The 23,539-nt window shown below is 42.7% G+C and overlaps 1 protein-coding gene and 1 pseudogene across 3 annotated transcripts, besides 1 other annotated feature; both read left to right on the top strand.

The window, feature by feature from the left end:
* Positions 409-628: a silencer, noted in NCBI's record as "silent region_14251". NCBI's record gives its function as "represses an Ori minimal core promoter by ATAC-STARR-seq in GM12878 lymphoblastoid cells {active_cell/tissue: GM12878}" and the evidence as "EXISTENCE:reporter gene assay evidence [ECO:0000049][PMID:35858748]".
* Positions 584-22,166, top strand: HIGD1A (HIG1 hypoxia inducible domain family member 1A). Of its 3 annotated transcripts, none has more exons than NM_014056.4 (4): positions 584-638; positions 10,799-10,917; positions 18,912-19,046; positions 19,754-22,166. In NM_014056.4, exons 2-4 carry the CDS (start codon positions 10,821-10,823, stop codon positions 19,801-19,803), a joined length of 282 nt encoding a protein of 93 aa, NP_054775.2. In that variant the 5' UTR covers positions 584-638; positions 10,799-10,820; the 3' UTR covers positions 19,804-22,166. The 3 variants fall into 3 exon arrangements, with proteins under 3 accessions (NP_054775.2, NP_001093139.1, NP_001093138.1); NM_001099669.2 differs by having other exon boundaries at positions 10,775-10,917; NM_001099668.2 differs by having other exon boundaries at positions 584-902.
* On the top strand, positions 3,795-4,475 carry MIX23P4 (MIX23 pseudogene 4; annotated as a pseudogene).
* Positions 22,167-23,539: the final 1,373 nt, after the last annotated feature.

Raw genomic sequence — 23,539 nt, 5'->3', positions numbered from 1 at the left:
GGCTTTCGACTTGTAAATGCACTGAATGTATTTAAGCACTAGAAAAACTTGTATTAATAATTTTGAGTTGGTCTGGTGAGTTACTCCGACCTTCTCCCTGTAACCTGTTGCAGAAATAAACTCCGTTCTTTCCCAGTCTGTCTGCATCTCGTTACTGAACGGCGAGAACAAGCAGTCGGACCCGGGTGGGTCGGGGAACACAACCTCACCCGCAGCCGAAACCCCTCACCCGCATCCCTTCCCGGCCCGTGAGGCGTCCGCAGGCGGCGGCGCTCGGGACACGGCGTTCGCGGTGCTCGCCTCCGCTGCCCGAGGGGAAAAGGGCAGGAGAAATCTGAGGAGTCCTTGGGCCAGGAGCCAAAGCCCCTCAAGTGCCCGGGCGCGAACCCCAGGCGCCGAGCTCTCACGTCTGTCTCCGCCAGTACGCTAGAGCCGGGGTAGTGGGCCAGCACTCACCGGCCCAGCCAATCCAGGACCCGCTCTGCACTGCCCCACCCGCCGCGCACACGCACGCGTCCTTTTGCGGCCGCTGGCCTCTGATTGGCTGGGACGGCTGTGGGTGGGGAGAAGCCGGGAGGACTGGGTGCGCCTGCAGGGATCGGAAGCCGGTTGGGGTGTGAGAGGTTTTCTCGCTCTAGGTAAGCGAAACAAGCCGGGGGACTGCGAGCCAGGGACTCGGGCCGCGGGGCGGGAAGAAGTGGGGCAGCGCTTGGCCAGGCCGAAAGGACTTTGGGGGTGGGGGCTGGGAGTCCGTGTCTCGAATGAGGGAGGAGAGGTGGAGTTGCCGGGGCTCAGGCCCGGCCTCGAGCATGGGCGGATGAGAGGAGTCGGGAGCCGAGGCCTAGGGTCCTTCGGGTGAGGGGAGACGGAGCCAGCGAGGAGATGGAGCAGAAGCTTGTGGAGTGAGTTGCCGAGCGGGGAAGACTCGCTGATGGGGTGGTAATGAGAGACGGGGGCCAGGAGGGTGTTGACTGGGCCCGACGGCGGGGAGCGAGGAGCGGGAGCTTCCCCGGAGCTTGGAACATTCTGAAGAGCGGGCTAAGCGGCAGGCGAGGCGGGATAGGAGAGCGAGCGCTCCGGTCACGGAGTCACGACAAGGTCACAGGAAGAGAGGCGGCGAGGAAGGTCGGGAGGTTGAGGGGAGGGCGTACTAGCAGAGGACCTTCCAGTCCTGGTCTTGCTTTTCTCCCCGACCTGGTGTTTCCTCCACCCTGGGAAAGTGATAAGGCCTAGGGTCCTGTGTAGTGCTTCTGTGACCGAATTAAATTTTTCTCCTGCCGAGTCGGCGGGTTAGAGATTACAAAGCACAGCGTAAGGGCAGAATTAGGAGCAGCCGACATGATGCAGCAGTGATATTCGCCTTTGTCTTAAATTCCCGGAGTGGGAAGCAGCTATTTCCCTCTTCGGAGTAATCCCCACGACAGGGATCCCTGCTTCCGGAAGTACAAAGGCACTTTGGAGTAAGACAGGTTTGGATGGAAAGTTCTAACAGGTTGAAGCGGTGACAACCTGGTCATGAAGCTCCAGCATGACACACATATTTGGAGTCCTGTATACTAGGAGTTCTCTTTGTGCACCAGAGTCACTTGAAGGGGCTTCTTAAAGATTCCTTGAGCTCTGCCCCAGACCACCTGAATCCGGATCTCCATGCTGGGGCCTTGGCAGCCATTTTAAACAAGCTGATGGGCGACTGATGCAAAATCAGTTTGAAGCCAGCGTTGCTTTAGATAGTAATTCCCGTGACAAAATGACTGTGAAGAAAGATCCTTCATTCAACCTGTTACGTCTCCTGATGCTGGACGGCTCATCTTCCCTTAATGCCTCTTTAGGTTCCCTGTGGAAAGGTCTTCAGTCGTGTCTTACTAAGCGTACAGAATTAATTTGTGCTCTCCAAACTGACTTTAAATATCTGGTTACTGGTGCCTTTTTTAGCGTCTATTCAACTTTCTGACAGAAATCTGGGACAACTACTGTGGGTGGATGAGAAAACGATAATGAAGGAAAGTCTGGCAGTGGTGTAGTGAAAAAAGTCTTTTCAAATCACAATTGAAATTGTTAGATGAGTTAAGTCACTGAAGAAGATTCCGTTTACCTTAGGCATGATTTTTTTATATATATCATTCAAAGAGAACAACGTGGGCTTCTGTTGAGTAATGGATTCTTAAATTTTCTAATCAGAATTCTTATCTGCCAATTTAATCTAATTTACATCAGCAGCGTAAGATTGATGCTTTGGCAATATATCGTCAATCAAAAGAACCCAGGACTCTCTATCAGAAGAGCTGGATTCTAATCCTACCCCACCAGACATGTATTCCTTGTACTGAGCAATTCGTATAACCCTCTCACAACCCTTTCCCCACCTGTAAAATAAGGCTATTGGCTTGGATTATTCATCTGATTTGTTACTCTCAAATTATATGATTAGAACTTATTGTTCCTGATACTTAACCAGTTTTCAATTCAGGTGGCTATAAACCATGAATACTTTGGAAACTTCTACGTGGTAATTAGACAGTTATCAAAATTTTGTATTCAGAGAGTATTTTAGATATGTACTATATGGGAATTATAATATTTTGACTACAGAATAACAAATAACTGATATGTGTTGGATTTTTAAATATTAATCCTTACTAATTTTATTCTGAAATGTACACATAAGGTATTCTGGAATCACAGACAGATTATCATCTGTCGTTTCAAGCAAATAATGACCATTTTGTTCCCCACACCCTGATGCTTACCGCAGGGGCTACTTTCTGAAACCCAGGTCAAATGCCCTATCCATACAAGCTTCAGAGTCTGTATCATAGATGAAGAACGGAGAAATAGGTTTTCTTCTGTTCTTGATTTATATACAGGAAAGAGACAACTAACCCCCTCCCTCCTGAAAGGAGAAAAAAAAAAAAACCTTTTGCTCCATTGACCTGTTGGAGAATTAGAGTCAGCCAGATGTGAGATAATTATAAGAAAAACTACCAACTTTCTTGCTATTTTTAAAAAACGATTTATGTCCTGTTTTTGTTTGTTTGTTGGGTCCCTCAGCAAGGGTCTTGCCTGTTGCCCCGGCTGGAGTGCAGTGGCTGGATCATGGCTCACCGCAACCTCCACTTTCCAGGCTCAAGCAGCCCTCCTGCCTCAGCCTCCTGAGGAGCTGGGACTACAGGTGTGCACCACCATGCCCGGCTACCAACTTTCTTGCTTTTAAAGACAATTCCCAAATGATTTTTTAGTTTAGAAATGATTCAGGCAAAAAAGGGGAAAACATGCTTTTATATCTGCAGAAGTTTTTAGTTTTTAAAAGTGGATTATGGTATATAATAGTTTTGTCCCCTGTGTTGCAAGGAACTAAGACCTCAGGTTATTTCTCTTTTCATAGGTACAATATAAGAAACATAAAAGAAATAAGCACTTAGGTACATACAGTTAGGCATTTTTCTTACTGATTAAACTCTACAAATCTGTATGATTGTTATTTTTTTGTACTCAATATTACTGAATAACCTAAGAATGCTTTCAGTTGTTGAGAAATGTAACTTTTAAATGTATTCAAGAAACATTTGTAGTGTACATATTATATATAGGGTATTGCACCAGGCAGTGGAGTTGGATACAAGCAGAGCAGGTATTGGTCCCTGACTTGAAGGATTCTAGCAAAAGAAACAGACAAACTGGTGCTTATAAGGGTTATAAGGAAAGTACAAGGTCCTATGGGACTGCATAACCAAAGCACTTACGAACTTAAAGAGACAAAAATTTCTGAGAGGAGGTCAATTAAGATGTGAACCTGAGTCCAGTATGGTGGCACCCAGTGGCAGTGTGAACTGTGAGGAGTTCGCCGAGTTCCAGGAATTACTCAAGGTGATGTGGACAGTTGATACAGACTAGTACATTAATTAAACACTACAGTTCCAACAGCTTCCTTTGCAGGGAAGATTGATGCCAGCCAAACCTGTAAACAACTTTGAGTCTTTGATGGCAGCTCATGCCAGTAGGGACAGAGTCATAAAAAACTATATAGCCCAGACCTCAGCAGTAGTAAAAAACCTCTGAGAAGAGAGAGAAAAGAATTTGGACGATTTAATATTGTTAAAGCAACTCAGAACAGAGCAGGCAAAGTTGAAATGGATGTAGTCAGAATGATAAATGACAGGAGCTGGAAGGAGTTTAATGAATGCTGCCGAATTCACTTCAAACCTCCAAATAAACAGAATAAACGGAGATACTTTTTTTTTTTTTAAAGGACCGGGTCATCTCATAAGAGCTAAGCATGACAAATGTCAACAGGGCGGGCTTCCTAGGATGATTTCTGAGCCAGTAGTCCAAGACCTTTTGTTGATTTCAGCCCCACTTAGGCAAGACCTCAAATATAAATAATTCTGATAATTATGGAGAAATCAACTGCTATTTTATACTGATTCTGTTAAAAAAAAAGTTTTGTAACTATTAAAATAATGTTCTGACTCAGTGTAAAAAAAGAAAAACCAAACCTGAAAAAAAAAATGGGAGGAGTTAGCTAGGAAAGAGTATCTGAAGGGGATGGAAAGGGAGGGAAACTCTCACAAGTAGAGGAATCAGCTTGTGCAAAGGCTTAGAGGTATAGAGAGCATCTTAAAAATATTTAATGTGGTCAGAATGTGGGGTTGGGAAGGGAAATGAAAGGATTTGTGATAAACTTCCCCTTTGAGAAGGTCATGTTTTTTTTTTCTTTTTCTTTTTCTTTTTCTTTTATTTTTTAAAATTTGAGACAGAGTCTCTCTGTGGCCCAGGCTGGAGTGCAGTTGCACAATTTCAGCGCACTGCAACCTCTGCCTCCCGGGTTCAAGCGATCCTCCTGCCTCAGCTTCCCAAGTAGCTGGGATTTCAGGCATGCACACCACTATGCCCAGCTAATTTTTGTATTTTTAGTAGAGATGGGGGTTTCACCATGTTGACCAGGCTGGTTTCGAACTCCTGACCTCAAGTGATTGCCCACCTTGGTGCCCCAAAGTGCTGGGATTACAGGCATGAGCCACCGCACCTGCCCGAGAAGTTCATGATTAGATATGAAGGCAACTAGTAAACATACTGGCCTAAAATAAATACAGTGTTTAATCTCTCTATCCAGTCCATTTATGCAGTTTCTTCAAAGCCAGTCTCAAGTGTTTCTCTGTGAAACGTGCCAAACCTCCTTTAGCTAAAATACATCACTCTCTCTAAATTCAGACCTTGTCTGTGTTAGGCTTTTGACAACTAATTACACTGTGATTGAAACCACCATTGCAAAATTATAACTGAGACAGTGAAAGAGATCTGACCTAGCCAAAAAAAGATGGAGCCAGGCATGATGGTTCACGTCTATAATCCTAGCACTTTGGGAGGCTGAGGCGGGCAAATCACTTGGGGCCAGGAGTTTGAGACCAGGCTGGCCAACATGGCAAAACCCCATCTATACTAAAAATACAAAAAAAAAAAACCAGGCATGGTGGTGCACACCTGTTATCCCAGCTGTTAGGCTAAGGCACAAATCACTCAAACCTCGGAGGCAGAGGTTGCGGTGAGCAAAGATCGAGATCGTGCTCCAGCCTGCGTGGCAACTAGACCCTGTCTCATAAAACAAAAATAGAAAAATAAAGCAAAGATGGTAACAGCCCTTTCCTAAAACAAACCCCCTTCTTGCCTGGGGACTAGACTGCCTTTGTAGGTTTAATGAATTAGCCACAGATTAGAAATTATGGTTTAGGAGTCGTGCAGCTGGAAGTTATAAGATTCTTTTTTTTTTTTTTTTTTTTTTAATTTATTTTTTTATTGATAATTCTTGGGTGTTTCTCACAGAGGGGGATTTGGCAGGGTCATGGGACAATAGTGGAGGGAAGGTCAGCAGATAAACAAGTGAACAAAGGTCTCTGGTTTTCCTAGGCAGAGGACCCTGCGGCCTTCCGCAGTGTTTGTGTCCCTGATTACTTGAGATTAGGGATTGGTGATGACTCTTAACGAGCATGCTGCCTTCAAGCATCTGTTTAACAAAGCACATCTTGCACCGCCCTTAATCCATTTAACCCTGAGTGGACACAGCACATGTTTCAGAGAGCACAGGGTTGGGGGTAAGGTCACAGATCAACAGGATCCCAAGGCAGAGGAATTTTTCTTAGTGCAGAACAAAATGAAAAGTCTCCCATGTCTACTTCTTTCTACACAGACACGGCAACCATCCGATTTCTCAATCTTTTCCCCACCTTTCCCGCCTTTCTATTCCACAAAGCCGCCATTGTCATCCTGGCCCGTTCTCAATGAGCTGTTGGGCACACCTCCCAGACGGGGTGGTGGCCGGGCAGAGGGGCTCCTCACTTCCCAGTAGGGGCGGCCGGGCAGAGGCGCCCCTCACCTCCCGGGCGGGGCGGCTGGCCGGGCGGGGGGCTGACCCCCCCCACCTCCCTCCCGGACGGGGCGGCTGGCCGGTCGGGGGGCTGACCCCCCACCTCCCTCCCGGACGGGGCGGCTGGCCAGCCAGAGGGGCTCCTCACTTCCCAGTAGGGGCGGCCGGGCAGAGGCGCCCCTCACCTCCCAGACGGGGCGGCTGGCCGGGCAGGGGGGCTGACCCCCCCCACCTCCCTCCCGGACGGGGCGGCTGGCCGGGCGGGGGGCTGACCCCCCCACCTCCCTCGCGGACGGGGCGGCTGGCCGGGCAGAGGGGCTCCTCACTTCCCAGTAGGGGTGGCCGGGCAGAGGCGCCCCTCACCTCCCGGACGGGGCGGCTGGCCGGGCAGGGGAGCTGACCCCCCCCACCTCCCTCCCGGACGGGGCGGCTGGCCGGGCGGGGGGCCGACACCCCCACCTCCCTCCCGGACGGGGCGGCTGGCCGGGCGGGGGGCCGACCCCCCCACCTCCCTCCCGGACGGGGCGGCTGGCCGGGCAGAGGGGCTCCTCACTTCCCAGTAGGGGCGGCCGGGCAGAGGCGCCCCTCACCTCCCAGACGGGGCGGCTGGCCGGGCGGAGGGCTGACCCCCCCACCTCCCTCCCGGACGGGGCGGCTGGCCGGGCAGAGGGGCTCCTCACTTCCCAGTAGGGGCGGCCGGGCAGAGGCGCCCCTCACCTCCCGGACCGGGCGGCTGGCCGGGCGGGGGGCTGACCCCCCCACCTCCCTCCCGGATGGCACGGCTGGCCGGGCGGGGGGCTGACCCCCCACCTCCCTCCCGGATGGGGCGGCTGGCCGGGCGGGGGGCTGACCCCCCCTCACCTCCCTCCCGGACGGGGTGGCTGCCGGGCGGAGATGCTCCTCACTTCCCAGATGGGGTGGCTGCTGGGCGGAGAGGCTCCTCACTTCTCAGACGGGGCAGCTGCCGGGCGGAGGGGCTCCTCACTTCTCAGACGGGGTGGTTGCCAGGCAGAGGGTCTCCTCACTTCTCAGACGGGGCGGCCGGGCAGAGACGCTCCTCACCTCCCAGACGGGGTCTCGGCCGGGCAGAGGCGCTCCTCACATCCCAGATGGGGCGGTGGGGCAGAGGCGCTCCCCACATCTCAGACGATGGGCGGCCGGGCAGAGACGCTCCTCACTTCCTAGATGTGATGGCGGCTGGGAAGAGGCGCTCCTCACTTCCTAGATGGGATGGCGGCCGGGCGGAGACGCTCCTCACTTCCCAGACTGGGCGGCCGGGCAGAGGGGCTCCTCACATCCCAGACGATGGGCGGCCAGGCAGAGACACTCCTCACTTCCCAGACGGGGTGGCGGCCGGGCAGAGGCTGCAATCTCGGCACTTTGGGAGGCCAAGGCAGGCGGCTGGGAGGTGGAGGTTGTAGTGAGCCGAGATCACGCCACTGCACTCCAGCCTGGGCACCACTGAGCACTGAGTGAACGAGACTCCGTCTGCAATCCCGGCACCTCGGGAGGCCGAGGTTGGCGGATCACTCGCGGTTAGGGGCTGGAGACCGGCCCGGCCAACACAGCGAAACCCCGTCTCCACCAAAACCAGTCAGGCGTGGCGGCGCGTGCCTGCAATCGCAGGCACTCGGCAGGCTGAGGCAGGAGAATCAGGCAGGGAGGTTGCAGTGAGCCGAGATGGCAGCAGTACAGTCCAGCTTCGGCTCCGCATGAGAGGGAGACCGTGGGGAGAGGGAGACGGAGACGGAGACGGAGACGGAGACGGAGAAGGAGGGAGAGGGAGAGGGAGACGGAGAGGGAGACGGAGAGGGAGAGGGAGAGGGAGAGGGACGGAAGTTATAAGATTCTAACCCTCCCTAAAATGCTCCTAAGATCAGTGCTTGAGATATTTTGCAGACCCTGCACTTGATAGACCAACTGGCACCACCCAGATCAATAAACTGGCTCGTCTGATCTTATGTCCCCTACCTAGGAACTGACTCAGCACAAGAGGACAGCTTCAACTTCCCATTTCATCTCCAACCCAACCAATCAGCACTCTGTTCTCTGGCCTTCCCCCACCCACCAAATTATCCTTAAAAACTGATCCCTGAATGCTCCAAGAGACTGATTTGACTAATAATAAAAATCCTGGTCTCCCACACAGCTGGCTTTGGGTGAATTGCTCTTTCTCTATTGCAATTCCCCTGTCTTGGTAAATCAGCTCTGTCTAGCCAGCGGGCAAGGTGAACCTGTTTGGCGGTTACATGATTTCTCTTTTTTTTTTAAAAAAAAAAACAACAACTAATTTTTGAACGATTAATTACTTTAGTGTTTATATTGTATTATTCAGATATATAGTGAGTATCTTGAACCTTGAGCTTATTGAACCTTATATATAATAAAGCTCATTACTTAGGAGTTTATTCAGTTAAGAAGTAATGGAGTACAAAAAGAAGGTTTAAGTCCAATCTAAATTTTCTTTTATTTAGCTAAGATTTTCTTCTATGTCAGATGACAGTTGAGTCTTCTCAATGAAGGTGAGGCTTATAGGGATGAATTCACTTTCTAAACTAAGCACACCACCCCCTCCGGAGTTGCATTTTTGTTGAGGACCTTAACTGCCACTGACTCCCCTTGAGTAGCAAGGTGTTGAATGAGAGGTACTTTTATCAAAGGGAGCATAATGCACATGAAAAACCCAGAAGTGAAAGTAAGATTTTATATGGGTGTTAGGATGGGCATAGACTTTTAAGTTTATTGTAATTGACACTAATTAGAGACTTGTATGCTTACACTATGCTTCAGGCCCTTATTTTATCTGTGAGTAAAGTTTATTGCAATTCAAAATAGTTCAGTGAAGAAAGTATACTTTGTTATTGTGGCTAAAATGAAATAGCATTTGTTAATGCCTCATTGTGATAAAAGGGCTATTCACGGAGATGACTGAAAAGGAGGAAAGGAGCCTTTGATCCCTGTGATAATGAAAATGAATCCTTTTTTTTTTTTTCCTATCCCCTTACTCATACACTATCAGGCTAGATCTTGCCTTTGGGATACCATTTAAAGGAATTATAAAAAGAGGGTAGAGTTTTAAAAGGAAGCCTAGGGGATATAAGGTATGTAAATGAAGGCAGATCTGAAGCTTAGAAGATATTAAGAAGACCCTGAGGGTAATTCAGTTTTGTGCTGCAGTGATGTTAAAAGGTGCTAATCATAGGGCCAGGTGTGGTAGCTCATGCCTGTAATCCCAACACTGGGAGGCAGGTGGATCACCTGAGGTCAGGAGTTCGAGACCAGCCTGGTCAAGATGGTGAAACCCCATCTCTACTAAAAATACAAAAAAAATTAGCCAGGCATGGTGGCAGGCACTTCTAATCCCAGGTATTTGGGAGGCTGAGGCAGGAGAATCACTTGAACCTGGGAGGCAGAGGTTGCAGTGAACCAAGACTACGCCATTGCACTCCAGCCTGGGCAACAAGAACGAAACTCCATCTCAAAAAAAAAAAAAAAAGCTAATCATAAGCTGGCACAGTGGCTCACACCTGTAATCCCAGCAGTTTGGGAGGCTGAGGTGGGTGGATCACGTGAGGTCAGGAGTGAAACCCTGTCTCTACTAAAGAATACAAAAAAATTAGGCACGGTGGTGTGTGCCAAATGGAGGTTGCAGTGAGCCGAGATCGTGCCACTGCACTCCACCCTGGGCAACAGAGCAAGACTCAGTCTCAAAAAAGAAAAAAAACTAATCATAGGTCATTAAAAAAATCTAAAAGGCTATGAAGGAGACATTTCTACCAATATTTAAAATAAAAGCTTTGTTCTTAAAATGAGTAAATAATGAGCTAGGTAGAAACTTTGGCTATTCAGAATAATCTTTTCCCCAGAGGCAACCACCATGGATAACAGATTACTGTAATAGACTGGAAACTAATCTGAAGTGAAAATTGAAGCAAGGAAGCACATTGGAATAAATAAATCAGCAGTTGAAAGCAATAAAGACTGCATTTAACTACACCGAAAAGTGCTAAGTAGGATTTCCAACATGATATTGAAGGTTCAATAGGAGTTGTCAGTTTGGTTTGAGTAACTTAAAATTGTCAAGTTAAATAGTTGATTAAGGATGAAGATAGCCAGAAAATTAGTAGCTACTATTTTAATTGATAAAAGTAACATCAATTTAAAATTTTTCACTATTTTTAATTAACATGGTGCTAAAAATGAATGGGTTGTACAGGGGAAACGGCAAAATAATAGGGGGAATAAGTGTATACAACTCTCCCTTGAGAGTGACTGTACATTAAAAATACAGTTAATTTCTAAAAATATTTTTTAACTTTAGGATTATGGATAACATATACTAAGATTCTCATGGAAGTTAGGAATATTTTAAATACATCCAGATATTTAATAATGTTCAGATGCTTTTAATTACAGAACCTCATAGAAATTCTTTCTCAGGGAGATTCTTCAAGCAATCACTATGTCAACAGACACAGGTGTTTCCCTTCCTTCATATGAGGAAGATCAGGGATCAAAACTCATTCGAAAAGCTAAAGAGGCACCATTCGTACCCGTTGGTAAGTTTGACTGACATTTTAGTAGTCTTGAATATGGTAGAGCCGTGATAATTTGTTCATTTAGCAATATCCTGAAAGAATGTATTTTCCATTTTTTTCTTATGTTGAAATATGCTGAGATTGGCATGATATAAATCTCATCATAAAGATTCTTCTGTATGTATTCAGACTTTTTTTTTCTTTTTGGAGACAGGGTCTCTTTCACCTAGACTGAAGTGCAGTGGCTTGATCATAGCTCACTGCCCCCATCCCTCGACCTCTCAGGTTCTTGATCCTCCCACCTCAGCCTCCTAAGTAGCTGGGACCACAGGTGTGCACCACCACGCCCAGCGAATTTTTGTAGTTTTGTATAGACACGGGGTTTTGCGATACTGCCTAGGCTAGTCTTGAACTCCTGGGCTCAAGCAATCCGCCTGCCCTCAGCCTAGTGCTAGGATTATAGGCGTGAGCTGCCACTCCAGCTGAGACTTCTTATTTTATTGAGTCTTATTTCAGTGCATAATGTTGTATTGGGGGACCCCAAGACCATCCTCAGGTTAGATGATTGGGCCAAGACTCATAAGACTCAAAAATGCTTGTTACAGTCATAGTTTATTACAGCAATGGGATATAGGTTAAAGTCAACAAAGACATATAGAATGAAGTGTAGGATAAACCAGACACAAAATTCTAGGTGTCCCCTTCCCAGGGAGTCCCACAGGGGGAGAGGGGGTGCATTTAATTCTTCAGTACTGATGTGATATGTGGCAATACATGCTAAGTCTTGCCATCTAGGGAAGCCCACCAAGCCTTGGTAACCAGGTTTTATTGAGGTGTCAGCTGTGACTGAAATTAGCTATTCAGTCTCCTATCCCCCAGAGGTCGGACTCGCAGGCATATTAAAATTCATTTAATATGCAGTTAAAACAGATGAAAGGTGAAATTTATAGTATATAAATTAATCTTAAGAAAAAGTTTAAAAATTTTTAATCTTACAGAGAATTTTAAAATTACCTTTAATGCCACCATTTAGATATAACTGTTGTTACCATTTTGATGTACATATTTCTCCAGTTGTTTTTTCTTTTTTTATCTTCACAAATTCAGGATCATACTAAGATGCATATATGTATTATAATTTTTATCTCATGTTTTTAACTATGTTATTCGAAACTCGACTTTTTTTTTTTTTTCCGAGAAGGAGTTTCACTCTTGTTGCCCAGGCTGGAGTGCAGTGGCGCGATATCGGCTCACTGCAACCTCCACCTCTTGGGTTCAAGCGATTCTTCTGCCTCAGCCTCCTGAGTAGCTAGAATTATAGGTGCCCGCCGCCACGCCAGCTAATTTCTTTGTATTTTTAGTAGAGATGGGGGTTTCATCATGTTGGCCAGGCTGGTCTCGAACTCCTGATCTCAGGTGATCCACCTGCCTCGGCCTCCCAAAGTGCTGGGATTACAGGTGTGAGCCACCGTGCCTGGCCTAAAACTCTACTTTTTTTTTTTTTGAAACGGAGTCTTGCTCTGTCGCCCAGGCTGGAGTGCAGTGGCAGGATCTTGGCTCACTGCAAGCTCCGCCTCCCGAGTTCACGCCATTCTCCTGCCTCAGCCTCCCGAGTAGCTGGGACTACAGGTGCTCGCCACCACGCCTGGCTAATTTTTTCTATCTTTTAGTAGAGACAGGGTTTCACCGTGTTAGCCAGGATGATCTCGATCTCCTGATCTTGTGATCCGCCCGCCTCGGCCTCCCAAAGTGCTGGAATTATAGGCGTGAGCCACCGCGCCCGGCCAAAACTCCACTTTTAAGAATGACTTAATTTATATGATATAAATTACTGTTGTATATAACATTATTATAATCCTCTTGGTAGAAATTTATGTGATTTCTAATTTTTCATTATTAACAATTAAACTACTGAGCATCCTTTTAGATGGCTCTCCAAGAAGTTAAAGGACTTTGAAGTCTCTTGAAGGAATTTTTCTTCTGACCATATAATTAATAAGTTAGTTGCAAAAGTACATAAAACAGAAAGGTACCATGTCCTATGATCCCGACTCTGAAAGACAACAGCAGTCTGCACAGTCTGTCAGTGTTTTCTTCTCTGTGTACTACCATAAACTATTATTTATAATTATTTTTAGATGAAATATTTTTCTTTAGCCTTGTTCATTATCTTTTTATAACAATGCATATAGGAACATTTATATTTTTAATAATTGAATCATTAATTTTGTAGATATACAATGTTTTGTAACAGTGATCTATAAAATTTTTTGGTTGTATATTCCCTCAGTAAAAAATAATTTGAGCACGTACTTCCTGCCAGTGTGTTGTGTGTTTACCTATTTTTAAGTCATTTATGACTTTTAAGTCATTTAAGTCATTATGAAATACGCAGAAAGACATTTCAAAAGGATAAGATACAAATATAAAATTTTCTGCTCTTTAATGGGTTGTCATTTATACATATCCCTTCTTGGGAGTACATAAACCCTACATTGATTTAACCATTGCTGTATTGACGACATAGGAGTTGTTCCCATTATGTTGATTTTACAAACTGTTGGAAGACTGTGTGTGTAAAAATTAAATATCCTTATATACTTAATTGTACCAAAACAATGATTTACACCAATAGGCTGTGATGGGCTGGTTTTCCCATACTCTCAGTAGCACTAGATATTATCATTCTTTGAGCATCTTTTCATATGTATTGGTCATTCAGGCTTCTCTTCTGTGAATTAGCTTTTTTGTTTTTGCTTTTGTTTCTGTTTTAACTAGGATGTCTTTTTCTAATTAAATTATAATTATGTATTTTAGGTATTAATGTTTTCTTAATATGTTGCAAGGCCTTCATGATCCTGGGATTACTTAGGTTCCTGTATTTCCTTATGTTGTGCATTTATCATTGAGATACTAATCTATCTGGAATTTATTTGTAGGTATGACATGAGGCAAAATCTAACTTATTTTCCGTATGGATACTTTAATTTTCTATCACAGTGATTTGGGTATCTGTTTTGCATTCTTTTTCCACTTATTTGAAATGTGAACTATGTCATATACTAAACATATGAGAGATTTGTTACTCAACTACTGTATGTATTTTGTTGCTTTGATCTGTCTGCCAGAAACTTAGTGGTATGTTTAGATACCTCATAAGCCAGTACACTTTCACTATTCTACCTTCTTAAAAAGAGCTTGCCTGTTTACTTTGAAATTAGCTTGTTAATTGCAGCTACTCAGCAGGCCAAGGCAGGAGCGTCACTTGAGCCCAGGAGTTCAGGGCTGTAGTGTATAATGATCATGCCTGCGAATACCCACTGAACTCTAGTCTGGGAAACATAGGAAGACGCCGTGTCTGAAAAAAAGAGAGAAAAGAAAAAGAAACTGGCTTGCCCAGTCCAAAACGGGAAAAATGTCTCATTTTTACATTTGGATTACATTGAATTTATAAATTTGGAGAGAATGGAAATTTTAGAATGTGGTGCATCTACTGATTTTCATTCAAACCTTTTGTGTCCTTAAATATGATTTTATTGTTTTCTCTAGGTCTAGAAATTTAATTTCTCTAGATATGCTTTTTAATGTATTCATCAAAGTAATCTTTTTTCTTATTGGTTCTAGTTGTTTTTCTTTCTTTCTTTCGAGACGGAGTCTTGCTCTGTCGCTCAGGCTGGAGTGCAGTGGCACAATCTCAGCTTACTGCAACCTCCGCCTCCCGGGTTCAAGCAATTCTTGTGCCTCAGCCTCCCGAGTAGCTGGTATTACAGGCGCCTGCCACCATACCTGGCTAATTTTTGTAGTTTTAGTAGAGACAGGGTTTTGCCATGTTGGCCAGGTTGGTCTCGAATTCCTGACCTCAAATGATCCACCTGCCTCAGCCTCCCAAAGTACTGGGATTACAGGCGTGAGCCACTGCACCTGGCCTCTAGTTGTGTTTCATTTGATTCTCTTGGATTTCCTATACACACAGTTAGATGATCTGCAAACCAGTAGAGTTTCTTCCTAATTATGCGTATAGTTTTTTTTATGTGATTTAAAATTGTTTAGGATATCCAGGCAACAACAGCAGTATTCACATGTATCCCTGTCTTATTCTGATCTTTAAAGGGAACTTTTTTTTCTTATCTCTTTTTCGTTTTTTAATAAAAAATAAGGCTGAGCACTTTGGCTCATTCCTGTAATCCCAGTGCTTTGCGGGGCTGAGGCAGGAGGATCACTTGAGCCTAGGAGTTCAAGACAGCCTGGGCAACACAGTGAGACCCTGTCTCTACAAAAAAAATTTAAAAATTAGCTGGGCATGGTGCCACACGCCTGTAGTCCCAGCTACTTGGGAGGCTGAGATGGGAGTTTGCTTGAGCCTGGGAGGTCGAAGCTGTGGTGAACCATGATCATGCCACTACAGCCTGGGTGACAGAGCAAGACCCTGTCTCTAAATAAATAAATAAATAGATAAAAATTAAAAATGGAATATTTATAGTGTTTTAACACTAAGTACAATTTGTATTTGCTTTTGGTGTCTGAACTATATTCTAATTTACTTTTACTATTCAGATGTTCACATAGTTTCATCTTTCGTGAATCTTAAGAGATTTTTCGTTTTTTTTTTTGTTCTTGGATGTTCTTCCAGTGAATTCTTTTTTTTAATTTATTTTTTATTAAAATTTTTTTTTTTTGTAGACACAGGTCTCACTCTGTTGCCCATGCTGGTCTCAAACCCTTGGCCTCAAGCAATCCTCCTACCTCAGCCTCCCAAAGTGCTAGGATTACAGGGATGAGCCACTGCTCCTGGCCAAGATTTTCTTATGTAAAAGCAATGGTTAATTCCCAAAGTAGGCCAGGCACAGTGGTTCACACCTATAATCCCAGCACTTTTTTGGGAGGCTGAGGCAGGCAGATCATGAGGTCAGGAGTTCGAGACCAGCCTGACCAATGTGGGGAAACCCCATCTCTACTAAAAATACAAAAATTAGCCGGGTGTGGTTGGCACATTCCTGTAATCCCAGCTACTCGGGAAGCTGGGGCAGGAGAATCACTTGAACTCAGGAGTCGGAGGTTGCAGTGAGCGGAGATTGCACCACTGCACTCCAGCCTGGGTGACAGAACAAGACTCCGTCTCAAAAAAAAAAAAAAAAAAAATTCCCAAAGTAAAAACCTAATGATCATGGTTGATAATATTATTCTAATACATTTTAAAGTTGATAAGCTAGTATTTGGTTTAGGAATTTTATATCTATGTTTATAATTTATATTGCTTTGTAATTCTCTTCTCATGGCTTTTTTTTTTATTTTTTAGTTTTTGGAGACAGTCCCGCTCTGTCGCCCAGGCTGGAGTGCAGTGGCAGGATCTCGGCTCACTGCAGCCTCTGCCTCCTGGGTTCAAGTGATTCTCCTACCTCAGCTTCCTGAGTAGCTGGGACTACTCCCGCCACCACACCAGGCTGATTTTTGTGTTTTTAGTAGAGACGGGGTTTCACCATTTTGGCCAGGCTAGTCTCGAACTCCTGTTTTCAAGTGATTCACCTGCCTCGGCCTCCCAAAGTGCTTGGATTACAGGTGTGAGCCACTGCACCCAGCCTCTTATGTTATCTTAATTTTGTTTTGGTATCAGGGATTTGTTTTCTTGGAAAATATATTGGAAAAAAATGTATTGCTATGTTTTTAATGCCCTGGAATACTTTAAATAACATGAATTGAGAATGCCCTTATAATTTTTATTAGACCTTGTTAATGAAACTATTGGGGTCTTTATCTTTTGGGGATAAAGCATGGATTGCCCATTTAATTCTTTCTATGGTTATTGGTATAGAAAGGTTTTCTACAACTTCTTGAATCAAATTTAGGAATTTGTATTCTCCTCAGAAATCATTCATTTCACCTAGATTTTCAAATTTAATTGGCAAAGAGCAATCATCTCTTATTTTTAAAAATCTCTTTATCACTTGTGATTATATCCACTTCCTCATTCCTAATGTCGTATGTTTATTTTCTCTTTGATCAGACTTCCTAGAGGTTTTACAATTTTATTTGTTCTAAGAACCAGTACTGTTTTTATTTTTCAAATAATGTTTGATAGCTTCCTAATCTCTCAGTTTTTACTTTAACCTCCAAATCTAGTTATTGGTGCTCAGCTTCTCAGTGGTTAGAGGTGGGGGTATGTGTGTGGTTGTTTTACGTTTTGATTGCTAAGTTTTGGCCTTATGGTAGTCATCCAGGAAGAAGGACTTTTTGGAAGTTGGAATTTTCTTTGTGGCCTAATAAATGATTGGTTTTGTCAAAGCTTCATAGACATTTTAAAGAATGTGGGATCTCTGTTTTAAATTAAAATATTAAATTTTATTTATTTTTAAGAATTTAAGTAAGTTTATTTAATGGTGCCGTGCAATTCTGTAGCTTTAGTTTGGGGCTTCTTATTCTGTTGTTTTCTGAAAGAGACAGATTTTCCCATTTTGTTGTCTTCTAATAGAGCTAATCTTGTGTTCCTAACAATTTTTGCTCCATTTATTTATTTTGCTGCTATATTAGATTATTTTAAAGTTTTATGACTTTAAAAATTTATATATATATATATATATATATATATTTTTGAGATGGAGTCTCGCTCTGTCGCCCAGGCTGGAGTGCAGTGGTGTGATCTCGGCTCACTGCAACCTCCGCCTCCCAGGTTCAAGCATTCTCCTGCCTCAGCCTCCCAAGTAGCTGGGATTACAGGCGCATGCCACCATGCCCGGCTAATTTTTTGTATTTTTAGTAGAGATGACCAGGCTGTTGGCCAGGCTGGTCTCAAACCCCTGATCTCAGGTGATCCACCTGCCTCAACCTCCCAAAGTGCTGGGATGATGGGTGTGAGCTACTGCTCCCAGCCCTAATTTTTTTTTCCTCCTTATGATTTGGAAGTTCTGCGGCTATTCTTACACTGCTTGCTGGTGGTTATCTTTACATTGTCAAACTAGGATGTGTTTTTTTCATCTATTTCCTGTATTAAAATGAATATAAATTTATTCCCTAAGACCTTTAGCACACGTTTTGTTGTGATAATCATAGCCTAATTTCAGATTCTTAATTTTGCTATATTATACCAGTCATTTTCAAGGAACCAGTACAGATTTTTCTGTCTTTATTGCTCACCATTATATCTTAACCATTATGTCTTTATTTCTTGAACTGTCCATTTTGACTCACTGTTTTTATTTGACTGGATATTTTCCTCTAGGTTTTTGTATCAGTACCTGGGTGGCAGCTTGGGAAAGACAGCCCTCCTGTAGTCCCAGTTATTAGGGAGGCTGAGCGAAGAGGATCACCTGAGCCTGGGAGAACAAGGCTGCAGTGAGCTATGATTGTGCGGCTGCACTCCAGCCTGGGCAACAGAGCAAGACCCCATCTCTTAAAAAATAAAATAATAAATCTTAAAAAGAAAACATGGAAGGTCATGTCCTGAATGCTTTTGCCCTCAAAATGAATGAGAGTTTGGCTCTGTATAGAACTCTAGGATCATAATCCTTTTAACTGAAACTAATATTGCTCTATTCTTTTCCTTTATTTACTTCTTCCCAGTACAATATCCCAAAGTTTGAAATATTCAGGCAATGTTTCTCAGTGGTAGTAGTGTGTAGGATTGTCTCTGGTATATTAACTGATTACCTTGAGGGAGGGAAATAGGACAGAGAGGAAATGGAATAAATTCATTCTCTAAGTCAAGACCTTTGGCACACTTTCGTTCTGATAATCATAATCTAGGTTCCTGTTAATTCCCTAGCAGTTTTTTAAAGGAGTTTATCTACTGGCCCCACAAACCCATGTTTTTAAAGATAATCCTGACTTTCTGGATCTGTTGTTGTTTGCTTAAAGATTTTTGGTTTTGATAGGGGAAAACATGAAAAACTCAATTTGTATGTTAGCTAATTAATGATCTGATAAAGAATCCTCATAAAAATAATAGAATGTACATTGACTGATGGTAAAGTCATCTTGGTCCCTTCTCATGCATCTGACATACTTGTTACTTTGTTTTACAGGAATAGCGGGTTTTGCAGCAATTGTTGCATATGGATTATATAAACTGAAGAGCAGGGGAAATACTAAAATGTCCATTCATCTGATCCACATGCGTGTGGCAGCCCAAGGCTTTGTTGTAGGAGCAATGACTGTTGGTAGGTTCCTATAGGAAATTTCAAATTTTCGTTTCTCATTAAGGTATTTCTTTACAAACAAAATAGGTAAATATTTTTAGCTGACCTTTTAGCAGTTGGAGAATATCACTTATACTCATTTTCATGTAAAAAATGAATTAATGAAGATAATTCAAGTAGTGACATAGTTTTTCTATGATATATCCTACTAAGATTTTAAAGAAAAAAAAAATCCTGTCAATCACTGAGTTTATAATTTCATTGAAGAGCCTAGACATGTAATTGGGGTTGATAGTAACATCTGTTATCTGGGAGAGACATACAATTGCTATTTTATTGTGTTTTTAAAGGAGAGATTCTTAAAGTTTAGGTATTACATGCTTCTTCTATTGGCTTTATAATTCATTGACTTTATCTGGTATTATGTAGCAAGAGTGATTCCTTTCAAAGTTACCAGATAAATATTGATTGTTCTTTCAAAGAAATATTGTAACATGTGAAGTAGCCATACCAGCCCTTTGCTACTTGGGAAACTACTGTATGTAACAAGAGTTTTAGAGATTTAAGATGTTTAAGAAGGCAAGAGTATAAGCTTCCTAGGGTCTTATTCCCCTTGTAAATATTCCATGCTAGCAGTGGTGCTACTTTCAGCTATTTTATGAACTGGTTTTTATTTTTGAATATTTAAGAAAATACTGAAATGCTTAACTAGCATTCTTTTTCTTTAGGTATGGGCTATTCCATGTATCGGGAATTCTGGGCAAAACCTAAGCCTTAGAAGAAGAGATGCTGTCTTGGTCTTGTTGGAGGAGCTTGCTTTAGTTAGATGTCTTATTATTAAAGTTACCTATTATTGTTGGAAATAAACTAATTTGTATGGGTTTAGATGGTAACATGGCATTTTGAATATTGGCTTCCTTTCTTGCAGGCTTGATTTGCTTGGTGACCGAATTACTAGTGACTAGTTTACTAACTAGGTCATTCAAGGAAGTCAAGTTAACTTAAACATGTCACCTAAATGCACTTGATGGTGTTGAAATGTCCACCTTCTTAAATTTTTAAGATGAACTTAGTTCTAAAGAAGATAACAGGCCAATCCTGAAGGTACTCCCTGTTTGCTGCAGAATGTCAGATATTTTGGATGTTGCATAAGAGTCCTATTTGCCCCAGTTAATTCAACTTTTGTCTGCCTGTTTTGTGGACTGGCTGGCTCTGTTAGAACTCTGTCCAAAAAGTGCATGGAATATAACTTGTAAAGCTTCCCACAATTGACAATATATATGCATGTGTTTAAACCAAATCCAGAAAGCTTAAACAATAGAGCTGCATAATAGTATTTATTAAAGAATCACAACTGTAAACATGAGAATAATTTAAGGATTCTAGTTTAGTTTTTTGTAATTGCAAATTATATTTTTGCTGCTGATATATTAGAATAATTTTTAAATGTCATCTTGAAATAGAAATATGTATTTTAAGCACTCACGCAAAGGTAAATGAACACGTTTTAAATGTGTGTGTTGCTAATTTTTTCCATAAGAATTGTAAACATTGAACTGAACAAATTACCTATAATGGATTTGGTTAATGACTTATGAGCAAGCTGGTTTGGCCAGACAGTATACCCAAACTTTTATATAATATACAGAAGGCTATCACACTTGTGAAATTCTCTTGTCTAATCTGAATTTGCATTCCATGGTGTTAACATGGTATATGTATTGTTATTAAAGTAAGTGACCCATGTCAAATGTCTTTTATTTATTTCATGAGGAAAAGCTTTCTGTAGAGGAACAAATTTGAGAACAAGTTTCAGGAAATTGTCTTTTTTGTTGTTGTTCTCTAATCATGTTCTCCTTTCTGTTTCAACGATTTTAAAAATATTTTACTTTATGGTATGTTTTATTTTTTTTCCTTTTGTGGGTAATTTTTGTTCTATTGATTATCCATATAAATTTTTTTTTTTTTTTTTTGAGACGGAGTTATTCTCTGTCATCTTGGCTGGCGTGCAGTGGCACGATCTTGGCTCACTGCAACTTCCATCCCCCAGGTTCAAGTGATTCTCTTGCCTCAGCCTCCTGAGTAGCTGTGATTACAGGCATGCACCAACATGCCTGGCTAATTTTTGTATATTTAGTAGAGACGAGGTTTCACCATGTTGGCCAGGCTGATCTTGAATTCCTGACCTCAGGTTATCCACCTGCCTCGGCCTCCCAAAGTGCTAGGATTACAGGCGTGAGCCACCACGCCCAGCTGATTATCCATATAATTATAACACTCTTCTATTTATTTTCAGTCACCAATAATTCCTTTTGAGCAATATTTAAGCCTAGCATATTTCTTCCTTCCCTCCTCCTCTACTAACCAGTTCTGGTCGATATATTATTGGATTTTACTCTTATACTGTTTGTTTGTTTGTTTGTTTGTTTATTTTGAGACAGAGTCTTGCTCTGTTGCTGAGGCTGGAGTACAGTGGTGTGATCTGAGCTCACGGCACCCTCCACCTCCTAGCTTCGTGCGATTCTGATGCTTCAACCTTCCGAGTAGCTGGGATTACAGGCATGCGCCACCATGTCGGGCTAATTTTTGTGTTTTTAGTAAAGGCGAGGTTTCACCATGTTGGATGATCTTGAACTCCTGGCTTCAAGAGATCTATCTGCCTCAGCCTCCCAAAGTGCTGGGATTACAAGCATAATCCACCACACCTGACCTACTTTTGTATGTTAAATGTGATTATACTTCTCTTTGACTTGTCAGCTTAGCTTTAGCTGATACACTCTGGTGCCCAACTATTATTGTATCAGTGAACTTCCACTTTCTTTTCCTTTTCTCTCAATTTTTGTTGTATCATTCCTACCTTGTGAGGACATATAATATTTACATTCTGTTGTCATCCTCACATTTCTTAGTTCCACAGTTTAAATGTATTTGAAACTCAAAACATTCCCATTAATCTCTTGGTCAGCTGAAATTAATGATTTAATAGTTTCCTTAAAAAAGACTCATGGAACAATTTCCCTAAATTTTTGCCATGTCAAATATGTTTATCTGTAGCCTTTACACAGTAAAAACAATTTGGCTAGATAATACAATTCTCAGTTCATATTTTTCTTTGGAATATTAAAGTATTGCTATAGAGAAGCCTAAAGTCATGTGACATTTTTCTTACATAAGTGATTTGATTTTTTGCTTGGCTGCTCAAATTATTCCTTTATCAAGTCCAATAACTCTAACAGGTCTTGGTATTGACCTTTCTGGGTCAGTTTTCACTACATTTTCAGAAAATTTTCATTCTATTTAATAGATGAATACTCTTGGTTTTGTTTAAATAACTAATTTGAGAGTCATTGATCTAGACAAATGGCAGAGGATAGGGGGAGAAGAACAAGTGAAGGGTTAAGATGTTAATGAGTGTTCATGAGAAATTTGTGGGATTGTGTGCCTGAAAAGAATGGTAAATGGTACATTAGGTGGTTCAAGTGGATGTGATACTATTTTTTATTGAATGAGAGCTGGGTTCATGGTTCTGCCACTCCTAACCAAGCAGCCATGGTTTCTTATCTATAAAATGGGGACAGTATCAGTGGCGTAGGGTTGTTGGGATTAAATACAATACTGACTATAAAGGGCTTACTTAGCATAGCACCCAGTGCATTAGTAAGCTCAATAAATGGTTGCTGTTTCCATTATTACTGTGTTAACTGTGGGAATGCAGTAGCACAGGAGACACATGAGCCTTGCTTTCAGAATTTATAGTCTAGCAGGGAAGGCTGGCATTAAATAAGTGATTACAATTGTAGGGGCCAAGGGAAAACTTTACCTTCACCCTCTGAAGGTTTACTGAAAAATCAACTGACAAAAGGCAGATTATTAGGAGAAAAAACATGCAATTATTTTAATGTGTATATCACAGGGGAATGGCATAATGACTACTCAGTAACCCAATAGGGTACAGATGTTTATATATCCTTCTTCATAGGGGAAGGGGAGATGGAGGAAATGTGGCAATTTGAGGGATAATGAGTTATTTTTAGGGGGATTCAGTGGACTTAAAGAACATACGATGGCCTAAGACAAAGTCTGTTTGGCCTACAGGGCAGATAATAGTTTGTGACAAGTCTGTCCAGATATGTTGACAGATTTGTCTCTCTTCCTGCAATATGAATTAAACTAATGAAAACTCCGTGCCGGTGCAGTGGCTCACACCTGTAATCCCAGCACTTCGGGAGGCCGAGGCAGGCGGATCACTTGAGGTCAGGAGTTTGAGACCAGCCTGGCCAACATGGTGAAACCCCCTCTCTACTAAAAAAAATACAAAAATTAGCCGGGCATGGTGGCATGCACCTGTAGTCCCAGCTACTCATGAGGCTGAGGTGGGAGAATTGCTTGAACCTAGGAGATCACGCCACTGCACTCCAGTTTGAGCAACAGAGCGAGACTCCATCTCAAAAAAAAAAAAAAACAAAAAACGGAAAGGACCAGGAGTAATTTTCCCCCCGCCTTTGGCAGGTCTA

This window comes from Homo sapiens, chromosome 3, assembly GCF_000001405.40.
Source record: "Homo sapiens chromosome 3, GRCh38.p14 Primary Assembly".
Classification (NCBI taxonomy): Eukaryota; Metazoa; Chordata; class Mammalia; order Primates; family Hominidae; genus Homo; species Homo sapiens.
This window is presented reverse-complemented; position numbering and strand designations above follow the sequence as displayed.

What these genes read in the sequence shown, in the direction of transcription:
- HIGD1A (NM_001099668.2), top strand. Translation starts at nt 883, where the DNA reads ATGGAGCAGAAGCTTGTGGA. An exon ending in ATGGAGCAGAAGCTTGTGGA is followed by an intron (nt 903 to 10,798) that starts GTGAGTTGCCGA and finishes ATTCTTTCTCAG; the next exon opens with GGAGATTCTTCAAGCAATCA. An exon ending in TGTAGGAGCAATGACTGTTG is followed by an intron (nt 19,047 to 19,753) that starts GTAGGTTCCTAT and finishes CTTTTTCTTTAG; the next exon opens with GTATGGGCTATTCCATGTAT.